We start from the raw sequence: 19,003 nt of genomic DNA, 5'->3' as shown, positions 1-19,003 counted from the left end.
TGTTTGTTTGCATATTGGCATCCACACTGTGATATAAAGATCAGGCTAACCTCCTAGAGTCCAGAAGCAGCTGCACTGGGGATGCAATGCCTTACATGTGCTCAAACCCACAGTCATCCTATTTCTGTGGCACAGCTTTTGCTTATGTGATGAAAAGTGAATTCTGGTTTGTGCTTTCCTCCACCTTCCCTGCTCCCATCTGCGTGCTGACAAAGCATGAAAATTCAGTGAGTGGCTCCCAGTAGAGCCAGTCACTGCCAAGGTGAATGTCGATGACTCTTTGGGAAACTCTCAGTTTAATACGGCTGCCCTAGTCCATGATCAGTTTCATGCAGTGAGCTTTTCCAAGGCTCATTTCCCTCACTGTGAATGGACTTCCCCATTGGGCATAAAATTTCAGAGGAAAATCAGTGGAACACAATCAGTACTAGTTAAAAATGCAGATTTCTGAGACCCACCCCAGAGCTGCTGAATCCCTGGATTAAGCCAGGAAATCTTGGGTGGTGGAGGTGTAGGGGACAAAAGCGTAGTGATTCTGATCTAGATCTCTAATCCATATTTTGAGAAACACTGATCCATAGAATCATTTTCAGCTACAAAGCTTCACAGCTCTATGAACACTTGGCTTGCTTTGCATTTTATTTCTCAAATCATTCTCTATGCTTCTATTTCTCTGTCTTTCAAAGCTGGAGAGTATTCACGCAGTGTAAGATTCAGTGTTGAAAAGATTTCTACCAGTTGAAATTTGTGTTATTATATTTGTTTCAGGCATTTAATCCCTGTTGAGACTCTAAGCATGGGCAGCTGGATCCCTATTCCAGGTGCTACGCCTCACAAATTGTTGACATCTTTCTTCTCTATTAGATACCAAAGCCCAGCTGCAGCAGAACTAACACATCTACTCCCAACATTGAGCCCTCCACTTGCCTGGGCGACCACCACCGAGGATGGGAAAGGATGACATTGGAAGGGAATTTGCAGCCCTCCTGATCTCCAGGCAAGCATTCTTTGTGGTTTGGCTAACTCAAGTATATGAGTAGTGATTTCTTCTGAATTAGACAGACTTAAATTTTGCAAATTGCATCCTAGGAGAGAGAAAAGGGATCAGAAACGTTGAATAATTTATAACATTTCCTGTCAGGAAACCATTGAGGTTTTATAGAAATATGGAGACTCCACCCCCACATGGCTTTGCCTAAATGGATCTTGTACAGTATTTAAAGCCCCACTCAGTAGCTGTTGGCCCCAGAACATTTTCTATGATATCTGTCTCACCTAATTAATTGCTTTCAACCCTGAATTCCATTGCTTTACTGTCTCTAGCATTAACTGAACTGACACTGATTAACTGATATTCAGCATATAGGATATCAGAGTCGGCAAACAGGGGCTTCATAAATAAACACATGATCTTTGCTTCCCAGGAGTGTGTGACTGTAAACAAGCACATAAACAGCAAAGAGCTTATCCTACTGTGCCCAGTGAGACAGGGCACACATTTCAGTTTCCCCACTGAACTGAAGACAGGAGGTCAGGGAGCTCCTGTATCTTGATATTTTTGTTTCTATCATGGCTCTTGTCATCTCCCCTTGGACAAGAACAAGTGCCCAGCACATCTTGTATTGAATTGAGCTGAACTCCAATTTAACCTTTTCCTTTTAGAGATCAGGAAACAGTCATAAGCATCTGAGTTTGCTCATCAGAAAATTCTTGTTCATGATTCTCAACGTCAAAATTGTGTTTTGTCACCTTGGAGCTTAAGTTCAGCTCCAGGAAGAAATGCAAAAGGACTTTGACTAGTTTCTCTCAGCATGGAAAGGTTCACAAGCTTTCCCACTACTCTGCCACCTGGGATTCCCACATTATGAAGATTCACATTCCACCATCTCCTACCCTCAGGAATGTTTCCTTCCCTTTCTAACTTCTTCTTTAATAATCGCTTGTCCTGTGGCCAGTTTTCTCGGAACTCACTCAGCAAATGGTCAAGGAATATGATAAATTGATAGGAAGATCTAATGAGAAGAGTATCACTTTCTCACATCATAGGTTTACATTTTGGTAGAAGCTTTTTTGAAGACAGAGATGTTTAGCAAATGGTGAAAAACTAAACAGACAAATTTCAGGAATGTAAGAAAGATATTTTCAGATAGCTTGATATCCATCTTACATGCAGTCTGCCCACTCTTGTTACTTCGATTGCATTAACACTTGCTTTTAAAAGTAAAATTTAGTCAGTCGCTTTTTAAGAAATTAAGTTTATGTTTAACAAAAAGCCCATGGATTTTTATCCTGGAGGCCTTCTTTATTCATCATAGTATAGTATTAAATCCTTCAATAAAAATAACATAGCATTAAAAGAGACTATATCAAACTCTTATAAATCAGATTATGTTTTTATATTGTTCTGTTATGTGCTTTTAGGCATGTTTCTTCAGAAATAAATCTCACTTCAACATACAATATTTTAAAATATAGTAAATATTACACATGACATTGTTAATTGAACAAAAATTGTAAAAATTAATACACAATGAATCTAATGAAAAACATCCCATTCACCTTTTCTTTGACAAGTCAACATTATATCTGATATCATGGATTGTGTCCAATTTTGGAACTGAAAGAACCTCAGTGAATTTTAAATGGCATTGACTTTTATAGATGAAGAGCTTATGGATATGAAAAGGCTTTCCCAAAGAAGCCATGGAGTAGAATCCAGGTCTCCCAGTTCGTGATCAGTCTTCCATCTCCCTGGTGGGCCAGAGATATTTCAAGTTGGCAGAGTCAAGCATGAGCAAGGAGATGGTGTGGGGCAGAGTGTGAACCATATATTCCTAGACCCCAGGTATGGCTGTCATTTACTAGCTCTGTTACCTTAGAAATGACTTAATCCTGTCCACCTTAATTCCTTTGTCTGTAAATGGGGCTGTTTTATGTTAAAATGCAGATATGTAATATGTGCATAGTTGCTCTTGAAACCACACAGTGCTGTGCAGGGCAAAGCTACTCCTATTATTATTGTCACTATTATTGTGTACTTGATATTAATTTATAGCTACTGGACCAGTAGACATTGTTGCTTATGCTCTTGGAATAGGACAAAGCTCTCAGCAGATACTGGTCCCTTCATCCTCACACATCCTCCTAGGAGTAATGGTGGCAAGAGATTATCAATCTCACTTTACAGGTGGAGAAACCAGAGCAGCGCCCTTGCCCTTGGCCGTGCTGACTCATCAGCCTTGTTAATGCTTGGTTCACTGCCTACTGCTTTAAATCACATCACAGGGGAGAGCGAGAGAGAGCATCTCCCCAACAGATCAGACCTTTCATTTATCTCGTTTTTTACAACCGCCATGGCCTCATGGGTTCATGGAGATTCTACAGGCATGACGCTTCATTCAGTAGGGAGGGAGAAATTTGTATTTCTATATTATATACCAAATCAAAACTGATTTTTGGAGGAATCATACCACAGTAAAGACACAAGATCCTCTTTAAATAAGAATTCAGTGGACTACGGAATGAATAATGGCAACTATATATTTTCCTCTAAATAGAGAAGGTGATTGGTTCAGAGGGTGAGTGAGCCTTATTGGCAGCAAGCTCGCCTTAGCCCAGGTGCAAATTCAGACCAAACGTTGCACTTATGCAAGTGGACATAACTCTCCACTTTAAATAAAACACAAGATGCTTATCGTTACTGCTCCTTTCTCAGATCCCGGTGCATTTGCCTCAATTCTCTCCCGGAGTATCACGTGAGATTGGCGGGGCAGTGAGCATCATGCTCATTTGTTGAATGAGTGGGGAGGAGGGCGGCCAGGGGCTTTCTGCAAGGACATTAGCCTGGTTAGTGCCGCAGCGAGGCACTCTGAGCTCCCACTCCTTAATACTTCAGTTTCCCACAGTCTCTGCTCCTTGAGCCTTGATCAGCTCTCAGCTGAGGCCCCCAGAAAGGCCCCTGAGTATGTGTGATGTCTGTGTCCCTTGACATGCACGCTGTGAGGTGTTGCTCTTGCCTGCCCAGTGTCACTGTGAGCCCATGTCCATGAGATTCCCCACTCAAAGCGCTCAGCAGAAAACCAGAGAGATGGAGGTGGCCTCTCATCTTTACAAACTGCATTTTGAACCCTTGATAATCAAGATTTGAATGAGTTGGAGGGGCTTTGGCTAGTCCCTGATGGGAGGCCTTCCACATCATAAATCCTCAGCAGGTCGTTCATCAGAGCTGGGGCTCCTGTCCACAAGGAATGCCCATAGGAGCCATCCAAGGAGCTGCATAATCGCGGGCTCATTAGTGCAGGTGGTCTCCCCCATCAGAAGGGAGGTGCCCATTAGCCTGTGAGAGGGCCGCTAGTGTTGAACCATTTCATAGCACAGCTGCTCAGGAATGAACTCGTGGCTTAATTTCAGAGTTTTCCTCATCTCTTCCATTTACACAGACCCCTGCTGCCCAGCTGGGAGTGTGTCACCCGCAAGACAATACAAAACTCAACGTTCTCTGCGTTCTGGCTCTAAGTCATATTTTTATAAGATATATGCTGTGTGCCCTATCTTCGTTTCTGTTTATTTCCTTATTTCCAAGGAATAATCAGTTTGAGATTCGTCAACACAATAAAACTCAAAGAGACGGCCAGAGAGAGATTCAATGCAGGAGAAATATAGAAAAGACCGATTATCATGAAAACTCTCAATTTGCATCTTGCTCTCCTTGTAAGTCATAATACCAGGAAGCCAATGCAATCCCCTGAAGGAAGCTTTTCATATCTAATGACAAGGCTATATGCCTCCAGGGTGGTTAGATTATATATATTTCATCAGTCATCTGAAACGGTCCCTCTCCTTTCTGTGCTTGGCACTCATGAGGAGATGGGACCCGTTTCCCAGGGAGGAGACCTAGTCTCACAATCTGCCCAGCAGAAAGCTACATAATATGCTTCCTGATTTCTTCTGGCAAGAGGCTCACCTAGCCATGTCTCCAGGCTGCTAGCTGGGGATGGGGAGCGCCCTGCTGGGTGTACACAGAGGCTCCTGCAGCCGGGACTGCTCCTCCCAGGGATGCAAGCCCTGTGCACTTAGGCACGTGTGGGCCAAGCCTTCCTGAGTGTGCTCTTTAATCATCTCGGTATTAAAAATGCATTCTGAAGAGCATTTCCAAAGGGAGTGTGCTGGATACACGGCTCTCCCTGCTTTGAAGAGCATGCTATCATTACTGCACCCAGTCTCCCCTAACAGCCGAGCAGACAGGAGGGGGGATAGCCGCGGTTCTAGACTTGGGCAGACTACCAACAGCTGCAAAGTTAATTATGGCTCTCTCCCTCGTTCTCCTTCTCTTCAAAATCTCAGCTTTAGAAATAAAAGATAAGAAATTCTTTAGAGTAATTAGAGACTGCTGAGCGCTTGTGGTAATAATGAAGGAAAACATTCTGACTGATTTACAGCAGGAAGAGGCAGTGAGAGTAGCGATGCAGGTTGAAAAAAAAATAATTAAAATCAGCTTTGCCACTATCTTGATGGAGCTGTCAGTCAGCCTCAGAGAGAAAAGAATTGCTAATGAAATATTAATATGCTGCTTTAGATTTTATATAACTGCCTTTTGTTCCCAGGTACTGTTCCAGTTTGTCAGTCAAAGGGGTCAGGTGTGAAAGGACACAGAACCAATGTGGTCGAGGGGGAAATGAGAGCTCTGTGGCCCCAAAGATGCTGGGCTGCAGAAAGGACTCACTGGAGCATTGCAGCAGACAGTCCCACGGGCCTCCCCTGACAGCCACAGCCTCAGCTGCCCCAGCTGGAGAAATCCTAGTGGGGCAAAGCTTTTTTTCTTTTCTTTCTTTTTTTTCCTCCCCCAGGCTGACAGACACTAAATGTCAGCAATCATCAAGATACAATCAGAGCTGGTTTTATAATATCTATAAGTGGTTTTGAAGTCTGCAGATGCCAGACGGTTTGAAAATCTCAGAGAAATTGCATCTCATAGGTAGTCTACAGACGAGACATAGGCCCCACGTATTTTTTGTTTTATCAAACCAATCACTCAGAGCCACAATGCGAAATGGATGACACGGTTTGGAAGCTGTGTGTGTGTGCTAGCGCGTGCACATGTGTGTGCCCATGTGTGTGCATGCACATATGAGAATTTGCTTTGTGTACAGGCACACCTGTATGCATGTGGCTGTGTGAGTTGCATGTCTTTGTGAGCATTTTGCATATGCATGTCTGAAACCACCCAAATGCTAAAAGTTTCTTAGGTAGCCCACAATACACCCTATATGGACTGGTTTGGGGACACACTTTGTTTCTTAGAACTCCTGACTTGCACATTCTGGCAATCCAAGTAAACACAGAAGAGATAAAGCAAAGGCACAAGGAAACTGGTCAGGAGGCACCACAAGGAGCCACAAACAGAGGATGCAACCAAGGCCCGGGTGACAACACTGTATGAATGTCTTTTTGCTTAGACTCCGTGAAAGTCTAGAGTCTGAGGAGGAGTGGCCAGGGAACAAAGACCCAGGTGATGAAATCCAGGGTCAGGAACCAGGCAGGTGAGATGGGTCAAGGTGGCAGAGGAGAGACATCTGAAGAAAGAGCCCAGTGATCTGGGTTAAGTCCTGACACTGACAAGAGCTCACTGAGTGACTCTGGGCTGGTAATACAAACCCTTTGGCCTTATTTCCTGTAACTGAGATGTGAGAAGGAGCAGGGGTCCCCAAGGTCCCCTTTGGGTCTATGATCCGGTTAGAAGGCATTTAAAAAGGGACACTGAATAAGAGCCATGGCCATTCTTGCCTAGGACATGGTTTCTGGCTTTCATAAGATAACTCACCTGTTTCCATGATTCAAACTTTAAAAATTATAGCTGAGGTGAGAACATTTTTTAACTTAGAAACATGAAAAAAGTGAAATAGTGTGGTATAATAGCTACTTCATTTATCAGGAATTTACTGTGTATGAGGAACTTGCACCATTTTGAAGTATCTTAAATGTTCAATAAAATAAATGTGAGCATCCCCTAGTGACGTATGAAAAAAGGGAGACCTGTATTTCCACGCTAGTTAAGGGCAGAGAGTTAGCCCTCACCCAGGTCTGTGTCTCTGAATTCTATGCTGTCTCTGTTCCAAGTTAAGACCGATAGCGATAGGTCAGTTCATGTGGTAAGTGGCCAAAAGCGATAATACATGCTTGTTTAAATTAATCATTATTATTTAATCCTGAGAACAATCTTATGAAGGTCAGGGAGGTTTGGAAGGTCCCCAGGTAGCCCACATCTGTGCCCCTCTCACCTCATTCCTCAGTTCCCCTAAGGTAGGACCTTCCCTTCTCCGGTTCCATTTAGATAAGAACAGAAACCAGGAGACCTCATGCTGAATGGACAGATTTCAGCTTCAATTTTAGAGCTGAGAGGCCACATGACTTTGAAGAAATCGTATGTTCTCCCTGCCCCTTGGTTTCTGTCTTTAAAACAGGATACTATTGCATAACTTGGCAGAAATATTCTGAGGTTTAAGTAAAAAAATAGGCACATAGCATAGTTCATCGCTAATCATGGTAAAATAACAATAAGTCACATTTATTGATTGAACAGGTGAAATGCACCAGCCATTGTGTTATGCATTTGGGAATGATGAGGAATAAAACACAATTATTTTTCTCTCAAAAGCAATTCTCAGGATTTACAACGTTTGTGAGTGGCGTAAGCACTCAGCTCCAACTGTGCCCTTTTGCTCTGTTGCCCAAGCTGGTCTTGAACTCCTGGTCTTAAACAATCCTCCTTCCTTGTCCTCCCAAAGCATGGGATCACAGGCAGGCAGCATCACGAAGGGCCTCCAGCCATTCTTGATTATTCAACTCAAGTAGTTAGAGAAAAAGAAAAAATGTACATTCCAAACTGTACATTTATTCATTCTTTTTCTACATACTCTTTTGTCAATCTGTACATGAAATGCCAGTAAAGCTCAATTTGTTTTCTAATTTGCTAAATGAAAATAAACATGCATAGATATTCTTTTCTTCTCGCTTGAAGACCTTGCACATTCTATTTTGAAATTTACTCCCTTTGCTAGTAAAAGGAGCAAATCTACCTGACTGTACAGCACGTGTTTCTCAACAAGGCTTTTGTTGTTTTCTACTCATTGTCTTCTTTTAATATGGTATAAGAGGTGGTTTCTTTGTGTTAAGTGGCTATTAAAAAAAATAACTATATGGCCGGCCATGGTGGCTCATGCCTGTAATCCAGCACTTTGGGAGGCCGAGGCGGGTGGATTATGAGGTCAGGAATTCAAGACCAGCCTGGCCAACATGGTGAAACCCCATCTCTACTAAAAATACAAAAATGTCCGGGCAAGGTGGCTCACGCCTGTAATCCCAGCACTTTGGGAGACCAAGGTGGGCAGATCACTTGAGGTCAGAAGTTCAAGACCAGCCCGGCCAATATGGTGACACCCCATCTCTACTAAAAATACAAAAACATTAGCCGGGCATTGTGGCAAGTGCCTGTAATCCCAGCTACTCAGGAGGCTGAGGCAGGAGAATGGCTTGAACCTGGGAGGCGGAGGTTGCAGTGAGCCGAGATCCGGCCACTGCACTTCAGCCTAGGCGACAGAGAAAGATTCCATCTCAAAATAAATAAATAAATAAATAAATAAATAAATAAATAATAAAAATACAAAAATTAGCCAGGCGCTGTGGTGGGTGCCTGTAATCCCAGCTACTCGGGAGGCTGAGGCAGAAGAATTGTTTGAACCTTGGAGGCGGAGGTTGAAGTGAGCCAAAATTGGCCACTGCACTCTAGCCTGGACGACAGAGCAAGACTCTATCTCAAATAAAAAAAAAACAAAACAACAAAAAACAAAAAAACACCAAAAAACTATGCATCAACTATGCTACTGGGGAGAAAAAGAAAATGAGGGAAAAGGGAAAGAAGAGATTTTAAAAAGTAGTAACTCGCAACTCCACCTCAAAAATGAACTATTTAAGTTGATCCCATGTCTTTGCTATTGTGAACAGTGTTGCAATAAACATATGCATGCAGGTGTCTTTGTGTTCGAACGATTTATATTCCTTTGGATATATACCCAGTAATGGGTTTGCCAGGTCGAACGGTAATTCTGTTATTAGCTCTTTGAGGGATCGCCACACTGCTATCCACCATGGGTGAACTCATTTATACTCCCACCAATGGTCTATAAGTGTTTCTTTTTTTCCACAACCTCTTCAGCATCTGTTATTTTTTTGACTTTTTAATAGTAGCCATTCTGACTGGTGTGAGACGGTATCTCATTGTGGCTTGGATTTGCATTTCTCCAATAATCAGGGATGTAGAGCTTTTTTCCATTGCTTGCTGGCCCCATGTATGTCTTCTCTTGAAAAGTGTCTGTTTATGTCCTTTGCCCACTTTGTAATGGGGTTGAGTTTTTTGGTAATTTTGTTTAAACTCCTTACCTAAATGCTTATCAATTTTAGACTGGATAAGAAAACGTGCTACATATGCATCATGGAATATTATGCAGCCATAAAAAAAGAACAAGATCATGTTCTTTGCAGGAATATGGATTGAACTGGAGGCCATTATCTTTAGCAAACTAATACAGGAACAGAAAACCAAATATTGTATATTCTTACTTATAATCAGGGGCTAAATGATGAGAACACATAGACACAGAGAGAAACAACAGACACTGGGGCCAACCTGAGGGTGAGAGGGGAGAGAGGATCAGAAAAATAACTAATGGGTACTAGGCTTAATACTTAGGTGACAAAATAATTTGTACAACAAACTCCTGTGACACAAGCTTACCTATGTAGCAAACCTGCACATGTTCCCCTGAACTTAAAAGTTGAAAAAAATAATTATTGCTAATCTAACACTCATTGAGTATTTTAAGCCAATCATAGAATGAATGCTTAGGGCAAATACTTATTACATGTTCACACCATTCTGGGAACTGTGCTAAGTTCTTTCCATATGGTTATTCATTTGATCCTCACAACTATATGATATTGAAACAATTACCCTGTGAGGTGGGTATAATAAGACTCATTTTACAGATGAGAACACTGAGACAGAGAAACATTAAGTACATGCCTGCTAAGCAAGTAAGTAGAAGGAATAGTTCTGGATAAATAGTATTGCACGTGGCAAAGAAATGGATCAATGGCAGATGGACTCCCCCTAAATACTTCAAAAAGCCAAAGATGAACACTTTGTAAATAAATCCTGTAAGTACTCCAGGTTGTAACTGGCCTCAGAACTGGTGTGCCTGGATTTTGATGATGAGCCAGAGAAGGAAGCAGCCTTGGCTGCCTGTAGGGTGAAGCTAGCAGGTTACCCGACTTCTCGGGGTTTGAGTCTTGTGTATGTGGAAACAGAGATAATAGCTCTTCTTATTTTATGCAGCACAAACACTTGACTTTTAAAATCTAATGACTTAAGGATAAAGTCCTCTTCACATCCAAAAGAGAGCCCTTTAAAATCCTGAGTGTCCACATTATTAATAATTATTTATTGAGTACCATAGTATGGCTAGCAATGAGGGCAGGGACAGAATTCAGGAAAAATATACAATCACATGGGTACCTGCTTAAACTCATTATCTCATTGAGGGGAAAAGATTTAAAGGTCTGTAATAAGTAGAGAGTGAGTGCCTCACCAACCTCCGAAATCAGTGTCCTGGGCAGGAATCCCTGCGGGAGCCCATCGTGTAGCTCTCTCCTTTACCAGCCAAGCACAGGTGGCTCTGAACCTCATCTCTGCCCCTTACTCTGTGTTATGCTCGGGGACTTAGGTCACCCCTTGGAGTCTCTGTTTTCTCATCTCTAAAATAAGATTATAATGATGCTTCCATTGAAGTAAAGTTATAAAGACTCAAGAAGAAATATCAAAGCACAGTTCGTGGCCCACAGGAAGGAGGCCATAAGGTTTGCTTTCCTCCTTTTTTCTAGGCTGAGCAAAAACTACCAGTGAAGTCAGAAACCAGGGTTCACAGAGGCTGAAGTCCTAACAGCAGTTGGCTCTGCAGAATTCATGGGACTCCTTAATGGAAGGGAGGTGGGAATGAGGCACAAGGGTGGAGCCGTGTTTCAGGGGGCTGAGAGAATACTGAGCCAGACAGGAAGTGAAGCAGATGCTACTGTGCCCTCCAGCACATTATGGCTTATTACAATGGGGTGTTCCTAGCACCATTGCCCTAAAGTGCTCACCAGGTCTCGAAAAGGCTGTTCAGGAGGAGCCAACTTGATGACAGCAAAACCCATGGGAGGCTCAGAGGAAGCCCTCAAGGAGACTAATCAATGTCACAATATTAGAATTAAATGCAAAGGAGCTCAAAGGTCATGGAGTCCAAGCCCCTAGGTGATGAATCTGTAGCTGGTATTTGGAATCCATAGCTGTGTGCCTTCCCTGAGAGCCCAGCAGTCATCCACCCTCACCCCTCAAAGTACACAGGAGCTCTGTATTGGGGCTGTAGTCTCCCTACCACTCCCTCATTATGGGCTAAAGTCGGTGCCCTCAAAATTCATATATTGAAACCCTAACCCCCAGGGACTTCAGAATATTGGCAGCCTTTGGAGATGGGGCTTTTAAATAGGTGATAAAGTTAAAATCAGGCCATCAGGGTGGGTTCTAATCCAATGGGACTAGAAGAAATTTGGACACAGACACACACAGAGGGAAGACCATGGGGGTATCATGAGAGGCTGGTGATCAGCAACCCGGGAAAGAGAGCTTGGGGGAAATCAGCCCGGCTGACACCTTGATCTTAACCTTCCAGCTTCCAGAGCTGTGAGAGAATAAACATTTGCTGTGTAAGCCCCCGTCTCTGGTGTTTTGTTGTGGCACCCTAGCCAACCAGTACTTATACACTGTCTGCCTTTCTGTCTTTCTGTGTCTGCCTCTGTCTCTTCATGGCCCCCACCATGGCTCCTTGCCTGTGTCCCTGCAGTAGCTCCCTCTTGCCTTGGAGACACACATTCTCTCTCCAGTCCCCCAACCACTGCAGTCTGTCCTCCACCCTCCGCAGGGTGATGGGTGATTCTAGCTGGAGCCATGGCTTTGTTTGTCTAAACTCCAAGGTCACTTTTACCCCTCAGCATACTTGATGCCCGGTGTTACTGCAGCACAGAGTCCCTCTCCTGGTTAAGTGTGTGGTCAGAATCAAGCATTTAGGGCCTTGGATGAACTCGTGATAAAGACGGCCACCCTGTCCTGTGGCGTCCCTAGCACTGCTGGGGCTCTTGAGTCTTCTGTGACCCAAGGTTGTCTGAGTCAATGTGGGGAAACCTCTCAAATAAAGAGGACAGGTAACAGAGATTTTTTTTTTCGAAAGAATTTAAAGTTGGATGGGAGCTGATCTGAGGTCTAGTTCATTTCTCTCTTAGTGTAGTATGTCAGAGAGTCATCTAGCTGGGGTTAGCCTTGATTTCTTATCTGGTTTCCATAGTGTGAGAATAATAGTAACTTATTCTCTGCAGTGATGAAGGCTAAATGAGACAATATACGTCATGCATCTTGCACTTCCTGCCACACAGAGCTTCCATGGATACTGAAAGATCAGCTGACACGTGCCTTCAAGGCTAAAATGAATGTGGATATCAATAGTGATGAGAAGAAATGGTCTAAAATAAAGAAACAGCATGTGCAAAAGTGAAGATTATGATGCTATGTCAGTTACCTTCAGGTAACTTCCAAGTTACCTTCCAAGGGACCCAAAATGCCCTTATTTTAGTGGAGTACTCGGGATGACTCTGCTGTATGACTCTTAATGCATAAGAGTCATACAGTGGGTTATGAAAGGAAGGTTACCTTGCTATATTTCCTTTATATCAAATTAAACCTGACTATGAGCCCATACCCTACTTGGCAGCTGGAATAGTCAAGCTGCATTATTTGGGGGCTCCCTGTCTCCCATAAGGCCTCATCAGATCACAGACAGCTTACATGGCCCCCAAAATGTCAGGAAGCCTCCTCTCTCACTCATTGAGGTCACTGCTCACATCCTCATCATCTCAGCTTCATTGGTCCTTGAAAGCAGGTGGTTCACCTGATCTGGCAGATCCAGGCCAGACATTTGCTCAGTCTGGGAGCCCCTCTTTTGGAATAAGCTGGCATACAACCTCTCCAAGAGCACCACCTGGAGACCCCACAGAGGTCCTTCATCTCCCCACAGAGCTGTCGGGTAGTGAGGTTGGGGCCTCTTCCTTGGGCCGCTGACCTCTCCCCTGTCTTAGGATATGGCCTTTCAGGGCCTGTTTCTGCTATTTTCCTCTCTGACACTTCCTCTGCTTTTCTGCCCCAGGACCCAATTGTAGCCACTTCAGCTGGCCCAGGCTTTCCCGAAATGTGAAGACAGCAAACTCCCACTCTTCCTCCTGCAGACTGGTGGCAAAAACACAAAGTCCACTTGAGACCATGAAGTCCAAGGATCTTTTCTTATTCCTGGAATATACTAGGAAAAATACAGGTAGAAACATCACAAAGAAATGTCACAATAAATTAAATTGCTTCAAGTACTGTGTTTTGAGAAACATTATTTATTTCTTCAGTATAAGACTAATGATACGAGACAAGCTTATGACAAAATGTTAGTAACAGGTCTTCTTTTTTTTTTCCCCAAAGAGTAAAACCAATGTTTTTTTTCCTGCTTTATACAATTCCCCTTTAAAATAAGAGAACCTCCAGGCTTCAAATCAGGATGCTGTGATAATAATCCTGCAGACTGTTAACTATAAATAAAGTTACTATACTGTATAGATTAGAGGTCATAAATAGGAAAGCTGGAAAAATTTTGGAGCTAATAAATGTATGGTGATTGCACAGATAAAGAAACTGAGGCTTGAAAAAGGAATGTGAGATATCAAAGTTTCCAGAGCTAAGTTCAGAAAACTTCAGTAGTTCTCAAGATGCAAGTTGCTCAATGAAATGTATTAGGTGAATTAGTAAGCGTGCCTGTATCAATTTGGATCATCTGTTAATGCCTGCATGTATCTGCTTTGTTCCAGGCACCGTGCAGCGGGTGCTGTGTTCTAGCTGCTCTGTTAACTGCCAGTTACCTCATTTGATCCTGATGACAACCCTTGGGTAGGTATTGTGGTTACCTCCATTCTATCTCTGGAAGAACTAAGAATGGAGGTTAAGTAACTTTCCTGAGGCTCCTTAGCTAAGTCTCTAGGACTGGAATGGAGCCAGGCAGCCTGACTCAAGAGCCCCACTGAGTGCTCCTCCACAGAGGACACAGCTTCTGCACCCCTGCAGGGAGAGGCCCCAACCACAGGATTGATATGGGGAAAAGTGGCCTTATTTGGCTTTTAATGAATTACTCTACCTCCCTTGATTTCAAAATAAAGGAGAAGGCTTAGATCTTGAGAATCCATTTGGATTCAGTGTAAGAATAACCATAGTTTGTATCCTGGCTGGGCTGCTTACCAGGTTCAAGATAAAAAGAAACAACAATGAATCCAACAAATCAACAAAGCACAAAGTCCAACAACAAAAAAACAAACAAAGAAAAGAAAAAGAAGGGCAAACTGGTCTGAGTTTGAGTTCTTGCTCTTCTCTGAGGGAGTTTGGGCCACCTTTTAGCTGCAGTGTGTCTTGGTTTCCTTACGGGTAAAATGGGTATGTTCATAACTTCTGTGGCCATTGCACAGTCCAAGAGGGCTGCACTTCCCTTCCCACATGTGCTTCTTCTGCTGTGGAGCTTACATTGCTCCCTGGAGCAGATACCTAAAGATGTGGGAGTGAGTGAGCCTCCCAGTGGTTCTATGCCCAGCCTTTAAGCTGGCCCAGCTGACACCAAATGGAACAGGGCTGACTTGCCATTTCTCAGCCCAAAGCACATCATAAATGTGTGAGCAAAATATCAGGTGCAGTGGCTCACACATGTAATCCCAGTGCTTTGGGAGGCTACAATGGGAAGATTGCTTGAGCCCAGGGGTTTAAGGCCAGTCTGGACAACATCATGAGCCCCCATCTATATTAGTCTGTTTCACACTGCTGATAAAGACATACCTGAGAATGGACAATTTACAAAAGAAAGAGGTTTAATTGGATTTACAGTTCCACGTGGCTGGGGAAGCCTCATAATCATGGTGAACAGCAAGGAGGAGCAAGTCACATCTTACATGGATGGTGGCAGGCAAAGACAGAGTAAGAGCCAAGCAAAAGGGGTTTCTCCTCATAAAACCATCAGACCTCGTGAGACCTATTCACTATCATGAGAACAGTATGGGGGAAACTGCCACCATGATTCAACTATCTCCCACCAGGTCCCTCCCACAACAATGGGAATTATGGGAGATACAACTCAAGATGAGATCTGGGTGGGGACACAGCCAAACCACATCACCATCTCTATAAAAAAATACAAAAAAGTTAGCTGGGCATGGTGGCACTTGCCTGTGGTCCCAGGCACTCTGAAGGCTGAGATGGGAGGATTGCTTAAGCCCAGTTGGTCAGGACTGCCACTGCACACCAGCCTGATTGACAAGAGTGAGACCCTGTCTCAGAAATAAATAAATAAAGCCATTATTTAAGCCACTAAGTTTTATGAGAATTTGTTGCACTTACCTACTTCTCAGAATTGAGAATATTGAATGAGACAAAGTGAAAGATATTTGTAAGTGATGGGGTGCTACACTGAATAGATTATCAGTCTCCAGTACCTTGAGGGTGAGGTAAAGTGAACCATACAAGCCCTGCGTGTAGGAGCTGTGACTGTGACCCATGTTAGTAATGCTCTGTCTGGAGGAGGGAGAGATCACTAGGAGCAGCGGTGACCTAGCGAGTCCCAGGCAGCATTAAAGCTTAAAACACAAACACAGTGTACAGCTGCACAAAAATATTTTTCTCTTTATATTCTTACTCCGTAAGCTTTTTTCTATTTTTAAAATTATTTATTTATTTTTAAACTTTTTGTATTAAAAATGAAGGGACAAACACACACATTAACTTAGGTCTACTCAGGGTCAGAGTTATCAATATCATTCTCTTCCACCTCCACATCTTGTCCCACCAGAAGGTCTTCAGGGGCAATAACGTGCATGGATCTGTCATCTCCGCTGATAGCAATGCCTTCTTCTAGACTACCTCCTGAAGGATCTGCCTGAGACTGTTTTATTGTTACTTTAAAAACTATATATATATATATATATATATATATATATATATATATATATATATGCACACACATAAAGAGTATATATATATATGAAGAGTGCATATATATATATATTCTTCGTATATATACACTCTTCGTATATATACACACTATATATGTGTGTGTGTGTATATATATATATACATATATATGTAGAAAGAGTACACTCTAAAATCACAATAAAAATGTATAGGATAACAAGCACATAAGCCAGTAACATAGTCATTTATTGTGACTATCAGGTACTGTAGCATGTTTTCATCTGCTTTGGAAAACTACTCTCCTATCTTACAGAATACAGTCTCCCCAAATCAGATATTTGTTGAATGCTCATTTCTTCTGGTGCATTTCTAAGAAGATTTGAAGTTCCTTCGGGAGTGGTTGCTTTTCCTTTTCTAACTGATTTTCCTCCAACTGCAATGATGCTTTCTCAGTTTAGAGGATTTTTATGTGATCTTTAAGTGCATCGGCTATTTCATCTTCCTGAGTTAACTTAGCATACGTTTGGTTTCCTCTTCAAAAGTTTTAAAGTAAATATTTAATTCAGCCACATCAATCATTTTCTTTGAAATTCCTTTGAGTCATCTTCTAGGAGGTCTTCATTTTCGTGGCATTCACAATATGTATTTTCAAGTTCCTGCTATCCACATTGTTTTTTCCAATAACACTAGCGAAAATTCTTATTTGTTGCAACTGTCCATCCAGAGGCTTAACCTACCTCTCTTTATAGTTTTAGAACATTTTTATTGTAATAACTTTACTCACTCTCCGTTTCTATCCTTCTACTTCCACTTTAGGCTTCTTGGAATATTAGATTTTCCCTTCGAAGCATCTTTCAGTGCTGTCTGAAGTTGTTCTTCATTCATCAGATGGGTTTTGAAGGATGTTTTTATTGCAGTTTCTTCAAATTGGATGTATCCTGATGCATCTTGTACAGACTGAAACTTCCTTGCAATGTCAACCATCGGTCAACTTGCTCTCAATATTGTGTTTTATCTACCTTCTTTTACTTCTTTTCAAAGGTGTCTACGTAAACATCAAGTGAAAAGTTGGAGATTTCTAGTTCTTTATTGGTGTTTCATGTGTTTTTAATCATTTGTTTTCTGATCTGGTTTGCACTGAAGTGGACTAAGACCTCTAAGTATGAATTTTTTAAATTAGTGCACTTTATTTCGTGGAGGAGTTTTGAAGCAAAATTGAACAGAAAGTACAGAGAGTTCTCATATACTCCTTCTCCCCTCATTCACAGTTTTCCCCTATTATTAACACTTTGCATTGGTGCAATACGTTAGTTATAGCCAATATTCGTACATTATTACTAAAGTTCATAGTTCATTGGGTTTGCATCTTGGTGTGAATTCCATAGGTTTTGTCAAATGCACTCATGTGTCTTCCATGATGGTATCATGGAGTTGTGTCATTGCCCTACACATCTTTTGTGATCCTCTTTTTATTCCTCCCTTCCCCAAAACCCCTTGTAACCACTGATTATTTTACTGCCTCCATAGTTTTGCCTTTTCCAGGATGTCATATAGTTGAAATCACCCAGTATGTAGCCTTTCTCAGTTTATCTTTGCCCACTTAACAAAATGCACTTAAAGTTCCTCCATGTCTTTCTGCAACTTGGAAGCTCGTTTCTTCTTCATGAGGAATCATATTCCATTGATTGGATGCAGCACAGTTCATTTATCCACTCACCTGCTGAAGGACATCTTGATTGCTTCCAAGTATTGGCAATTATGACTAAAGCTGCTATAAACATCCGTATGCAGGTTTTTTGCATGAACATACATTCTCAGATCACTTTGGGCACCAAATATGTTTTTAATCTACATTGCAGTTCTCAAAAATGTGTTGTCTTTCTTCCAGGGGGAGGGAAAATAGTGGCTAGCTTGCCTCTACTTGAATAGTTTATTAATAATTAAAAATATGACCATAATGATAAACACCACCATCCCCAGAACAATCTGTATGACATGGGCCTTGATGAGAGTCCCCTGGCAGCACTGCCCTGACCCAGCCCAGCAGCCCCTGGAAAGCTGCAACATACACCCTCAGGACACCAGCAGACCCTCCACGGCCTCCAGGCAATTGCTGAGGTTGCCAGGATCCTGTCGCCCACAGAAGACTTAGAGTTAAGACTCTAAGGAACACAGGATTGTTCCACTCAGAACCAAACCTGTGCCTGGCAGCCTGTGCAGCAGACCTCAGTGGGGGCAGCCGGAGGGCAGGTGCAGTCAGCCTTGCCTGATACACTTTCTTTTTGTTAGTAAACTTCCTTCTCATTTGGGTCCTGCCAGCCCTCATTTTGCCCACAAAGGCCACAGAACACTTCTGATTCTCAGCCTTCTCTGTCATTTGGATCGGTGACCTTGAATTGTGTTAGGGGAGCAATGCAAAAGGATTATGGAAGCCTCTACAAAGGGCTCCAACTTAATTCACTAGGTTCACCATTACACAGTAAGGAAGGACAACTGGGAAGAGCTTCCAATGGCACAAGCTGGAACAATTTTGGCAAGAAAACCAAGGTATTGGATTATAAATGCATGTATAAAATATGTAATAGGTTCATACTGATATAAATAAATGATTGAATAAATGGAGGAAGAACACACAAATCTTCCTCACTGAATAATTGAAGATACCACATGAAAGTCAAGGCCAGCTCCATGGGCAGTCACCCAGAGTCTGCAAGCTCAGAAGGGCCCTGAACTTGATTGAAGGCTCTGCTATGGCCATCCTAAAATTGTTAATCATGTTGAGCAAAGGGCAGCTCCCCATTTTCATCTGTGCTGGGTCTGACAAGTTATGGAGTCTTCCTGGGAAGTCTATACAAATGTGAATTTCTGGGCCCATCC

At 42.4% G+C, this 19,003-nt stretch overlaps 1 long non-coding RNA gene across 1 annotated transcript; it reads left to right on the top strand.

Moving 5' to 3' along the window:
- Nucleotides 1-2,574: 2,574 nt before the first annotated feature.
- Nucleotides 2,575-15,436, top strand: LOC105373401 (uncharacterized). The gene is made up of 4 exons (XR_001739180.3): nucleotides 2,575-2,845; nucleotides 12,463-12,668; nucleotides 13,287-13,451; nucleotides 13,990-15,436. It is a non-coding gene; the product is annotated as an uncharacterized LOC105373401 (long non-coding RNA).
- Nucleotides 15,437-19,003: the final 3,567 nt, after the last annotated feature.

Source organism: Homo sapiens, chromosome 2, assembly GCF_000001405.40.
Source record: "Homo sapiens chromosome 2, GRCh38.p14 Primary Assembly".
NCBI lineage: Eukaryota > Metazoa > Chordata > Mammalia > Primates > Hominidae > Homo > Homo sapiens.
Note: the sequence above shows the minus strand (reverse complement) of the source record. Positions and strands in the feature narration are given on the sequence as shown.